General features: G+C 43.0%; 1 protein-coding gene across 5 annotated transcripts in view; it reads right to left on the bottom strand.

The window, feature by feature from the left end:
• The window catches only part of FER1L6 (fer-1 like family member 6), a 268,075-nt gene that overhangs the window by 196,786 nt on the left and 58,877 nt on the right, over positions 1-12,412 (bottom strand). For 4 of the 5 annotated variants that reach the window (XR_928347.3, XM_011517231.3, XM_006716618.4 and 1 more), the window contains exon 1: positions 8,586-8,703. The exons of the other annotated variant lie outside the window; for it this stretch is intronic. Coding sequence is in view for 3 of the 4 variants with exons in the window: in XM_011517231.3 (XP_011515533.1) it covers positions 8,586-8,608 (23 nt within the window). In the remaining variant the exon portion in view is untranslated. Of the gene's footprint in view, positions 1-8,585; positions 8,704-12,412 lie in introns of those variants that run through there. 5 annotated transcript variants of the gene reach the window in all.

The following is a 12,412-nucleotide window of genomic DNA, read 5'->3' as shown; positions in this document are numbered from 1 at the left end:
CCCATCACCTAGAAAATGGAGTTTGTTTCCTTTCCCTCCAGGATCACAGCTGTGAATATCCATCAGCATCTTGCTGTCTGATTCAGACATTTTCTCTCCACCTTTGGAACCCTTGGAGGAGTTGGTGCAAAACACCTGCTTGGGCCTCTGGCTCAGATAACTTTTCCTCTGTCATTATCACCACGCTGCATAGCAGCTTATTCGGCAGAAATGTGGTGAGCAACAGCCCCTCCATAGTACAGGGAAGGATGTGGCTAGACTGAGAGCAGAGAAGGCAAGACAGAATGGGGGTCTGGGGGGGGGCTGTATAAATCTCAGCTATTGAGTTCTCCGAAGCCAGGGCCAGGCAATGAGATTTAGTGGGAGGGAGGAAAGTGGGGCTTTGGATTACACACTTTGAGTTCAAATCATGGCTCCACCGCTTACTAGCTACACTTTAAAATCTATCTCATTGGGCTGCTGTGACAGTCAATGAGATCAAGGAGAAAAAAGGTGTGCCATCGATTTATAAACCACACCACAATAATTATACACATCAATTATAAGCTACCCACAGACCAAAATGTGAACCTTAAGAGTCCAGAAACATGTCAGTTTCTCTTGGCAAAGGGACGTGGAGGATTTCCAGGTTGGCGGTGCCTACGGGAGCCCACGGCTCTGCTGTATTTCATTTATCACCAGCAGGAGGCGCTGCCTTCTCTCGCTAATGGTCTCTGAGTCCCTGGCACACACATCTTAGTTCCCCCTCACGATGGGCTGCTGGGGCCCTGCACAAAGTCCGGGCCCAGGCAATACTCTGAGAGCCTAAGCCTGCTTCTGACCAGGTTTAGGCCGGAAGAATGGCACACCAGCTTCTCTTGCTGCAACCTGAGGATTCTTTCCTCAGTCGGAGGTTTTTCTTTTTCCTGTTTCCTCCAGTGACTCAGACGGAAATTCTCCTTATCTCTCCAGCCACAGATGTTACCTTCTGTCACGCAGAATAAATGCCCCTGCCCCCAGCAGGCAGTCAGCTGGACAGCCAAGATCCCAAAGCCTCCCACAGCTGCAGCTGAGGTCATGTGAGCCACCAGCCAACGCACACAGATGGCAGCTGCTGGGAGCAGGGCACCGGGTGCATGTTGGCTTGTTTCCAGTTGGCCATGAAAAAGGCTCCTTGCAAGGGGCCTGGAGGCACGGCTCTGAGGGATTTACACTGGAAACCACCTGAGGCAAAGGTTGAAATCATAGTACCTGGGGCGAAAGGAGATAAACTGGCCAGACTGTTTCACAATTCCATACTTCCCTCATGCTGCTGCTTGGCCCAGCCCATCCTGTCAGAAATGGAGAAACAGTGGCTCAAACAGATGAATGAACTTGCCCAAGGTCTCACAGTAGATCAATGGCACGTTACAAGCGGCTTGACAAACACCTTTCAAGTCTCTCAGCCCGAGGGCGGCCTCTACACTAACCCCTTTCCTGATGCCATCATCATCAGTAAGATCCAACCTCCCCACAGCCGCCCTGTGGTGCCCTGACTTGACTTTTACCCAGCCCCAGATACCCCACAGCTTGCATCGGTTGACATGTCTGGCCCTCTGCAAGAGTACAATCCTCACACCCATCAGGATGGCTACTACCCCGCTGTCCCGGCACACACTCAAAAAAAAGGTAAGGTGGGAGAATCACTTGTGACCAGGAGTTTGAGACCATCCTGGGCAACACAGCAAGATCCAGTCTCTACAAAAAAAAAAAAAAAATCCAAAAATTAGCCTGGCATGGTGGTGGACACCTGTAGTCCCAGCTACTCAGGAAGCTGAGGCGGGAAGATCACTTGAGCCCAGAAGTTCAAGGCTGCAGTGAGGCAAGATGGCACGACTGCACTCCAGCCTAGACGACAGAGTAAAATCCTGTCTCTAAAAACTTAAAAAATAAAAATACAGAAAATAACAAGTGGTGACAAAGATATAAAGAAGTTGGAATCCTTGCACAATGTTGGCAGGAACGTAAAATGGTACAGACACTTTAGGAAACAGAATGGCGGTTACTCAAAAAATTAAAAATAGAACTACCACGTGACCCAGCAATACCGGTTCTGGGTATATATCCAAAAGAATAGAAAGCAGAATCTTGAAGAGATATTTGCACACCCATATTTGTAACAGCACTATTGATAATAGCCAAGAAATAGAAGCAACCCAATATCCATCAATGGATGAAAGGATAAACAAAACTGTGATATAGACATATAATGTACTATAACAATGAAGGAAATCTTGTCACATGCCACAACATGGATGAACCTTGAGGACATTATGTTAAGTGAATAAGTTAGGCACGAAAAGACCAATAGTATTTGATTCCACTTATATGAGGTATGAGTAGTATAGGTAGTCACACTCATAGAAACAGAGAAACAGAAAGTAGAACGGTAGTTGCCAGGGGCTGAGAGGAAGGGAAATGGGGAATTGTTTTTCAATGGGTATAGTTTCAGTTTTACAAGATGAAAAAGTTTCAGAGGTCTATTGTACAACAGTGTAAATACATTTAACACAACTGAACTGTACACTTAAAATAGTTACAATGGTAAATTTTATGGTTTTTTACAGTTAAAAATTCCTCAGCAGCAGACCATAAAATCCCTGAGTAGGGAGAGGCCCCACAGGTCACTAAGTGTATCCTCCTATACTAAGCTGGAATGTTTTCTACACAACTGTAGCCCTGCTAAGTGGTCACTCAGGCTAGACGTGGGCCCTCCTGGCCGAGCTCTGGCTCGCAGACATGGTCACTGTGCCATAATCTCCCCTTCCAACTCTTGGGACCACAGAACCAGTCTAATCGCGGTTCTTCATCACAGCCCAGCATAACTCTCAGAATACTGTATTTCTCATTTGGCCTGGACTATGACCCTCAGAGGCTAGATGATGGGGCCATCCAGGGTCAAAGAAGGATCCATGGATTTGCCAGAGGTCAGACACAAGTCACAACCTGCACCACCAGCCTCTCAGGAACTTCGTTTCCCATCCACTTGATTGTCTTGCAAGAGTCCTGATGACCTCTTCGTGGTCCTGATGACCAAGTCCACTTGCTCCAGTGGAGTTAGGGTGAGCCTCAGGGTGGGAAGTGAGTGGAAATGGAGTCTGTCAACCTCAAGAACAAAACCTGCAACCAATATAATCACAGAGTGTCCCAGGCTCAGAAGGGGACTTGAACTTGGGGTGTAATGCTCTGCAGTCACCACCTTGCAATTCTTCATAAGAATTTGAAATTGTGTTTTGTAAGAGAAGTATGATGGGACAGTGTACATGTGCCAGGGGCTTAGGGCCTTCACCCTTGTGTGTTCCTCCTCCTCCTCCCACTGCCTCCTTGCCTCTCCAGGAAAGGTTCTTGGCCACCTGCTCCCCCTTGCTGGCCCAGCTATCTCTGCTGCCTTTCACAGGTGCAGAAGAGTCCAAGTCAGGTGCAGGGACCTTAGGTGATTGATGTGGAGGGGAGCTCCGGGTACCTATGAGAGTCTGCGCTTGCCCCATGAGCATCCCTGTGCTTTAGAGAGAACATGACATTATTAATAAACCCAAATAAAGAGCACCATGACAGATCATGAGAAAGACTGTGGAAAACAGAAAAGACTTTTTTCCTGTCTTTTAAACTTAAGGGGCTCTACGTTTCCATTTTGCACTGAGCCATGCAAATTATATGGCCAACGCTGCCCAAGCACATGGCTTACTGTTCCCAAGGTACTGGACCATGAGCAGAGGTGGCTCCTCCAGCCATTGCAGTGCTGTGCTGTGGCAGGCCCCCCAGGGCAAGCACTGAGGGGCACCTGTATTGCCTACACTGGCAGGACGCTTTTCAAGTACAGGGCCTGCTGCTCAACCAGAGTCCTTCCACAATTGACCTTTATCATATGCCTCCTAGACATCTTTACTTTACATAAAGAGTAAATGCAAAGCAAGTCCTCCCTACAAGGAAGCCCAGCCTGGACCAGTTAAGGAAATAAGCAAACCTAAGGCATGAGAAGAGGTAGCTGGCCCCAGGTGTGGCAAACAGTCTCAAAGGACCAACTCTCCCATTCTCTGCTTTATGCTCTAGCAAGCCTGGACAACAGTGCCCCACTCTCTCTTCTGGCCTCCAGCCTCTCCACTGCTGAGACTTGGGGGCCCCCTCCCTTCCTTCCCAAGGAGTTCTCACTCATCCTTCAAGTCCCCACTCTCCTACGAAGTGTTCTCTTTGCCTGCCAGCACTCTCTGCCCACCCAGAGTTATTGTACTGCCTCCCCTGGGGCAGGATCCCACTGGAGCCATCCACTCTGAATTGCAGTTCCTGTTGACCACTGTATGTCCCCTGCTGGACTGAGAGCCCTTGGATGCCAGGGGCCGGTGTGTTTTCCTCCATACCCCACGCCTGACCCTGAGGGGCACTCTCTAAATGTTTGTTAAACTGAAAGGAATCCAGCCCCAAACTTCGCCTTTACACTGGAATCTCCCAGAAATCCCCTATCTGATGCCGTCCAGGCTATTCTTAAGAACGCCAAAGCAAGGTCAGTTCAATCACTGCTGAAACTGATTCCAACATTCGATGACCACCCCCCCGCCCCTGCCACCACCACCTAACAGCATTCACTCTCAGCTCTCTGCTAAACACTTTCTGCCGTGTTCTTTGATTGTGCCATGAGATTGAAGTCTCAAGACTTCAGCTAAACCTCAACCTCCCACAGCCTACACTTCTCTTGTCCCTTAATAGCCCCTGACACAAATACAAATTAAAGTTTAAAAACTTTTGACCTCTGTCTTCCCATTCCTAGGAATTTGTCCTGAGGATGCGATTGCACATAGACAAAGCTGAATACACAAGGATGATAATTATAGAATTATTACATGGGAACTGTCTCAAATACTTATCAACTGGGGACTAATTAAATAAATTTTGTACACACAATGGAATATCATGCAGTGCGAGTATGTATTTGTTGAATTTTTTTTTTTTTTTTTGAGACAGGTTGTCTCTCTGTCACCCAGGCTGGAGTGCAGTGGCACAATCTCAGTTCCCTGCAACCTCCACCTCCCATGCTCAAGCAATTCTTCCACCTCAGTTTCCTGAGTAGCTGGGACTATGGATGTGCACCACTATGCCTGGCTAATTTTTGTATTTTTATAGAGATGGGGTTTTACCATGTTGCCCAGGCTGGTCTTAAACTCCTGGGCTCAAGCTATCCACTCGCCTTGGCCTCCCAAAGTGCTGGGATTACAGGTGTGAGCCACTAGGCCCGGCCTGTATTTGTTGAATTGAAAAGATGCCCACTTCACAAGACCTAAGCACAAACTTCATTAGTTCAAGGGGAAAATGCAAGAAATGCAAGAAAAGGATTCAACAGAATTCTAGAATGCTATGACAAAAGAAACAAAAGAGAATGTAGTCCATTTTAATGTTAAACTTTTCAGTCATTTTCCCAGTAATAAAACTTCCTGTGTATGTTGATAATGTTCGGAGGAAAAGTAGGTTATAGAACAGCATGAATAATGCGATACAATTTGTGTATAAAAATGTATATATGCATAGAAAGATGCCTGAAGAGAATTTTACATCAAAAAATAAGTATTTCTCTCTGGGAGGTAGTATTTGGGATTAATTTTACTTTTTGTCTTTACACCTTTTCCTGTATTGTCTCACATTTTAATAAAGATTGTGCATTATTTTTACATTCAGCAAAGACTGTAGAGCTATGTTTTTTCTTTGGCGGGAAGGAGATAACATCTGGAACACGGAGGCTTTCAACAAATAGTTAAATGAAAACTGACTCCTAGTCCTTTTGGCCCTATGTGAGATTTAGACAAATGTCATGAATACCTGAAGTGCGGAAGGTCCTTACTGAATGTTAGAGTGCACAGCAATGTCCCAGCCTGTTCTTTGAGTGGATATTATTGATGTACTGGACACCTCGACATCAGTCAAGTCCTCTGCACTTTCAAAAGGCTTTCCCTCTCGATGTCTCATTTGACCTTAAAAATTAGATTTATGGTAAGTTCCCCAAATTGAATCTCCTAAATGTGTGTCTGGTCACCATCAGTCAACACTTCCTGTTTGGCACAGTTATTTATCAGATGGATAAATGAGTGAGTGGGTAAATGGACGGATGAATGGATGGATAAAGGAATGAATTTATATCCCTCTTTTACAGACAAGAAAACTGAGTAGAGGTGAAGCATTGTGCCTAAGGTAATGCAATTACTAAATGATAAAAATCAGTGGGTTGGAATTGCTATTCTCTGCAGTCTTCTAATCAGCTCTCTTTTATCCAAAATGTCCCCAAATCCTGTTTTCTTTAGGAGGAAATACCTCAGCATCACTGACAGACACACTTGGTAAGCAGAGGTGGTAGTCAAAATACCAATGGCATGGGTATCAACCTATCAAAGTGCCCCAGCCGTGGTGCTACTGCAGAGCCCTGGACCTCCTGCTAAACCAGACATTGACGCATTAATTGCTGGATACAAGTGGGTCTTGGCTGTCAGAAGGGCACTCAGTGGGCTCAAGACAGGAGCTGTTCACTTACTGCTATGGAAGTATTTCATTATTTTATCAACTAATATAACCATCCAAATGCACCATGGTTGGATATAAGCCTTGCTAAAAACCTCCACAACACTAAAAGGGTTGCTACCTACATGAGAAATTTTGTTCTCTCTTCACTCAAAGCAGAGCGCTTACTCCAAGAACTATTTATAATGCCACTTAAAACTTGCAATCCAATGAACTCAATCTGCATGACTAGATGGAACTGATTGTCATTATCCTCTTCTAAAAATTATCCTAAGCCTGACTGTGGCAAGAGAGTAGGGCAAACATATGGAGAGAAAAGGATAATTTGCAATGAAGGAGGCAACACCATAAAAGCTCAAAAAATCCATGAGACATTAGCACAGATCAGTGCTAGTCATGAGCCAGCATCCCGAATACATGTTTCTGTTGAAGGGCATCTTTGTTCCAGGTGCCATCCAAGAATCTGGAAGACAGTAAGACTGACCCTGATCTCAATTTGTTTACAGTCCAGGAGGGCAGAGGGACAGATATTCGTTAGCAACTGTTGTATAAAGTGGAAAGCTCCAAGAAGACAGGAGCGCTTTGAGAATTCAAAAGAGGGAGAGTTTACTTCTACCAGAGGAAATCTAGGAGGGCTGCCTGCAGAAGGCAGCTTTGACCCTGGGTCCTCTTTCAGGACAGGCAGCATTTACACTTGGGGATGAAGGAAATGCACCCTCAGAGATCAACACAGGCTCGCCTTGAAGCAAACATTATTGTCCAAGCATTTACCAGCAAAATATGCAAAATGGACATAGGGTATACTTTACTGAACTTGTCATTCTCAAATACATCCTGCCTCTCACTTGCCTGTCTTTACTCACGCTGTCTATACCTTCCACCTGGAACATTCTTCCCTCACCCTGACTCTCACTTCCACATTCAAGAATGTTATTTCCTCTTCATTCTTCTCTTCTCAGTTTAGATGCATATCCTCTAAGAAGACTTCCTTGATCCACCTAAAATGGATTAAGTGCCTCTCCCTGCCTAGGCTCTAACAGTATCCTGAACTTATCGCTATTGTAATACCTGCAACACTCAAATTTTGATTGTCTGTTTCATTATAGATCAAGACTACTAATCTGTAAACGTTCTGAGAGAGGGATCTCGTCTGGTCCATTTTTGTGGACCTAGTGCCTAGTGAAATACCATATTCATAACATGGTCAACAAAAATTTAATTAATGATGAATTGAATTTTAACAGTCAATCAGCCCAATTCTATACTAAATCCTGATTCTGTCCCTTGTCTGAACTCACAGTGTACCCATGTAATTCTACCAAATTACTTTGCAGATGAAAAGAGACCAGTGGAGTCTCTTTTCACTTTAAAAAGTGTCCAGACCCTTTTTATCCTGCCCCAAACCAAATGAAAAGCCAAGGCCACCCCTGAACCACATGACAAACTGCCCCTCACCCCCCTGGCTATCATGGCCATGAAGGCAAAGTTTTAACCCCAGCAGAGCTTCCTAAACAAGTCTGTGAGTGAGGCCAATGGACATCATTCCTGCAAAAGAATTGAAAGACCTCAACTCTCATTTACAAACTGAGATAAGAGTCTTTGAAGCAGAAAGAAATGGGAAGAGGAAGAAAAGAAACCACAAGCTTGGGTTGGCTTTCCAGTTTAGTGCAATTAAATAAGGAAAGGCCCTGTTTGGAAAAAAAGGAAAAAGAAAAAAAAAAAAGCATGTAATACCTTTTATAGTTCAGTTCAAGGAATGAAAATTTTTTTAATATTGAAAACATTAGCAATAATTACCTCCAGTGATAATATGAGTTATGATTAAATTCCTATTAGCTTCTACATTTTCCAAATATTCTAGAGTGAAGATGTATTTACTCATCAGAAGAGGAATAGTTTCTTTTAGATGCGTGGTCAGGCCCAGTTGTCCCTCCTGGCCCACTTTTTCTTACTAACCCTTAAGTCTAAATTAACCCATGAAATTTTTGAGGGGAGACCCTTGCCTCTCCCAGTCCTTTGACTCTGGCCACACCCATAAGCTTTCCTGTTAAGAGAAGGAAATATGTTACTTGGCTTTGGATGGCTTCTCCATTCTTCCTCTTTTTAGCAGCTCCTCTGGGCTAGGAACACAGCAAAATCCTGATGTCTGCCTTTATCCAGATCCTGGTCACAGGCTTCTGAGTTTCTGAGTAATTGAGTGGGTGAGGCTATTTGTGGGGATTGGGGGTTGGGGGTGTGGCTGAATCAACATTCATTGCTGTGCATGGCTGTTTACAAGAATCATGTTACTAAGTGCAATCAAAAGTGCGAAGCAAACTGTCCCACAAAGAGTGGATCAATCTTCCAGGCTTCTTAACCATCCCCACCCACTGACGTATATATATGTCTTTTTCCCCGTCAATGACAGAGCCAAAAGCTAAATGCTTTCAGGCTCAATCTCATATTCTTCTAAAAACATCATTAGAAGAGACCATAAGACCATCTCATGTCAAGGAAAACACACCAATAAGGTCATCCAGTTCTCCTAGAACAGGGATGTCTGATAGAACTTTCTACCATGATGAAAGTATTCTGTTATCTACACTGTCCAATATGGTAGCCACCAATCTATGTGACTACTGAACATTTGAAATGTGGCTAGTGCAACTGATTAAATTTTTTAAAGTTAATTTAGATTTAAATAGCCACACATAGCTAGTGGCTACCATTTTAGAACACTGCAATTTAGAATCCCAAAATGTTAACCCTAAAAAGGACCCAATAAATCATTCAGACCTTTGCAATTGCAAGACCCATTTCTAATACAGAAGATGTATCCAGACCTTTCTCATGTTAACAGAATGTTTAGTGTGTGTTCATTAAGAATGCCATATTGACCAAAATTAGGAAAAATTCAATTGTATTTTAGTTTTTTTTTTTTCAAGAAAATTACGAAGATTACAGTTAGGAATAATTTCATAACACTTTTAATTGCATTTTGTTAATCACAACAGTATCCTCATGCACACATATGATAGACATGTGTGAGGTATTATTTTGCCCAGCCCTCAAACTTGTCCAACACAAGGGTTCCCAGATCCTCTCCAATAACTCCACAGTCCCCACTCATCATGCAATAGTGCAATGTGGAAACCAATGGCTTAGTCCAACCCCTGCTTTTAGAGAGAGAAAAACAAAAACACAGAGCCCAGCAAGGGAGGACACCTGCCCAAATCACATGGCTAATAAACAGTAGAGGTGACCTGACAGCCAGACCAAGCCTCCTTTCACTCTGCCACAAAGCCCAAAGTAAAAAAACACAGCTGGAAATCTGTAAGGGAGAGGCAGCTGGCTATGTTGAAAATGCTCCTATTTTCTTTCTCTTAGGAATTGTGGAAAATAAAAAGAATAGATTTTTGTAAATATCAAATATATATGTGTGTGTGTGAATAAATTATTTAACATATGAACAAATAATTACGTAAGTTTTTCTATGAATGGACTATGGAAAAAAATGGAACTAACCCCATTTGTATTTATTAAATACAAATACTTTCTGTAGTTAGTAGGTATTAAGTAAAATGTAATAACTTTCAAGATTTTTCTGAAGCTTTTATAACTTCCCCAGTCTCTGTGGGTTTTGTTAGCATCTGTGAGTATCCTCCCAGAAACAAGCAATAAAACACAAATTATCTCTTAAAAATAAACCAGGTTTATGGGCACCTTTCAGTGATAGTAATCAAGACACAGAAGAGGGAGCCAAGATGTCATCCTCAGTTATGACAGTTACCACATTCACCTGGTGAAGAGATGGGTCTAACACCCGGTGATCTGACTCCTCTTCTCTTCCGAGATCGCTCAGACCACACTGCCTCCAATACCATACCCTGTATTGCTCTTGGTTGGCAGAAAAGTTTACTGGAGTCAGTGTTGAGGATTTAGGGCAACAGTCTTTCCATTTTAAATGTCTATGCCTTTGGATTCCCATAGCATTTGATTTTCTTTTATTTTTAACCTTGACCACAGTGACTGTGACCCTGGACTCTGGAGTTAAACTGCTGTGGCTTGAATCAAGACTCTAAAATACCTACTAACTACAGAAAGTTTGGTGATTTGCTTTACCTCTCTCAGTCTCAGTTTTTTCATTCGTAAAATGATAAAAATTTACTGCATAGCCATGTTGAAAAATTAAGGCAGATTCTCAAAAATCTCATAGAACAGTGCCTGCCAAAAAAACCTCAATGCTCTCTCGGAGATAGTATTATAATGAATTATATCTGTGAATGTGTATATGTCCCATGTTAGGCTATAAAATTCCTGAGGGCAAAGACTGTTCTTATTTTCTAACCACCCCAAGCCCCTACAGGTGCAAAACCTTATAGGTGCTGTGCAGGTGTATGTGGTGGTTACAAATGTCAGCTTTGGCATCATCAAACATACCAGAGAATGAAGGCTATGATCTTCTTACAATACTTAGTAGGCTTTCTTCTTCTTTTTTTTTAAACATTGACAAGTTTCTTAATGTCCCTGGGTCTCAGTTTCTTCATCTTTTGAATGGGTTATTAGATTAGCTAACTTGCAGTTTAATTGTGAGAATTAAAGGATCCTAGGATGTGATGAGCATTTCATAAAGGCTGGCTGCTGTGAGCATACTAATGTGCTATCCCAGCTCCCACTTTGATGAGTACCACGTAATGTTCATGCCAGAAGTTGCTAAACAAGAATCTAGGGGTTGGTTTTCAGTGCACTCCCTTATTTGCTCACTCCATGCCAAACAGATTCCCTATTGCTAATAGAGGCCAGAGGCTAGTCTACCATAAAACCAGGGTGTGCTATGATAGCAGACTTCACAGCGCACACGCCAGCTGTTCCCCCCAGGAAGGGTAAATTTGCCCTGTAATTCTCTGGAACAAAACCAACAGCCTGTTTGCACAAGAGCATGGAAATTCAAAACCAGAGATGCAGCCTAGTTTAGATGACAGGCTACGGCCCTGAGTCGGGAGCCTTGAGTCTGAGGACTTGATCTCACCAGTAACTAGCTGCATGCTCTCGGACAATCAGTTTCACAACTCCGGGACTCTGTTTCCTTTCCCCTAAAAAGAAGGGCCTAGATTAGGCAATCTCCAAGGATCATTGCAGCTCCTGTGTTTCAGCATCCTAGGATGAGCTCACTAAGTGAACAGGAAGATGGACACAGAATGCAGAGCCAGAAAGACCTAGGTTGAAACTCCTACCTGTTTGCCTTTGATCAAGCTTCTTAATCTCTCTGAAGATTAACAGAGGGTTTCTTGGGTTTCTCATGAGTAAAGTGGGGGTAATAAACATGACTACTGGAGAATTTGAAACAGTGAATGTGAAGCATGACACTGCCTGGGCCATTGTGGATGCTAAGTGGTAGCTGCAGTTATTAGCATTATTACCATTGTCACTATTATTATTATTAATACTATGACCTTTCTTTTAAAATGTTAAGGCCCAAAAACATTTTATTGCATAACTATCATGTGGAATCAAATGGGAATATCAACTCTTCACAAGTAACTTTTTTTGAAATGTGTTAACTTTCTTCTGTGTGTAATTACTATTCCTTTTCCATTTTTTTGTCTTGAATCTTTTCATTTCCAACTCTAGAACTTTACTTCCCTAATAACAAACAATATAGTTAAGTATATGAGGAATTCCATGGACTCCTGCCCAATGATCATCATCACTGTCATCATAATCGTCACTGTCATGATAACCATCACCTTTACAGCTCCATTTTTCAGTACCTGGAGTTCAGCATAATGAGTGACTCACCCTAGACCTCACTGCCCATCCCACTAGGAAGTCATAGGACCTGGACTTCAGGTTAAACTTCTGACTCTAAAGCCCATGATTATTCCACCTGACCATCAATTTCATGCATTAACTCAAG

Source organism: Homo sapiens, chromosome 8, assembly GCF_000001405.40.
Source record: "Homo sapiens chromosome 8, GRCh38.p14 Primary Assembly".
Lineage (NCBI taxonomy): Eukaryota > Metazoa > Chordata > Mammalia > Primates > Hominidae > Homo > Homo sapiens.
The sequence above is the reverse complement of the archived record's forward strand: the minus strand, read 5'-3'. Positions and strand labels throughout refer to the sequence as shown.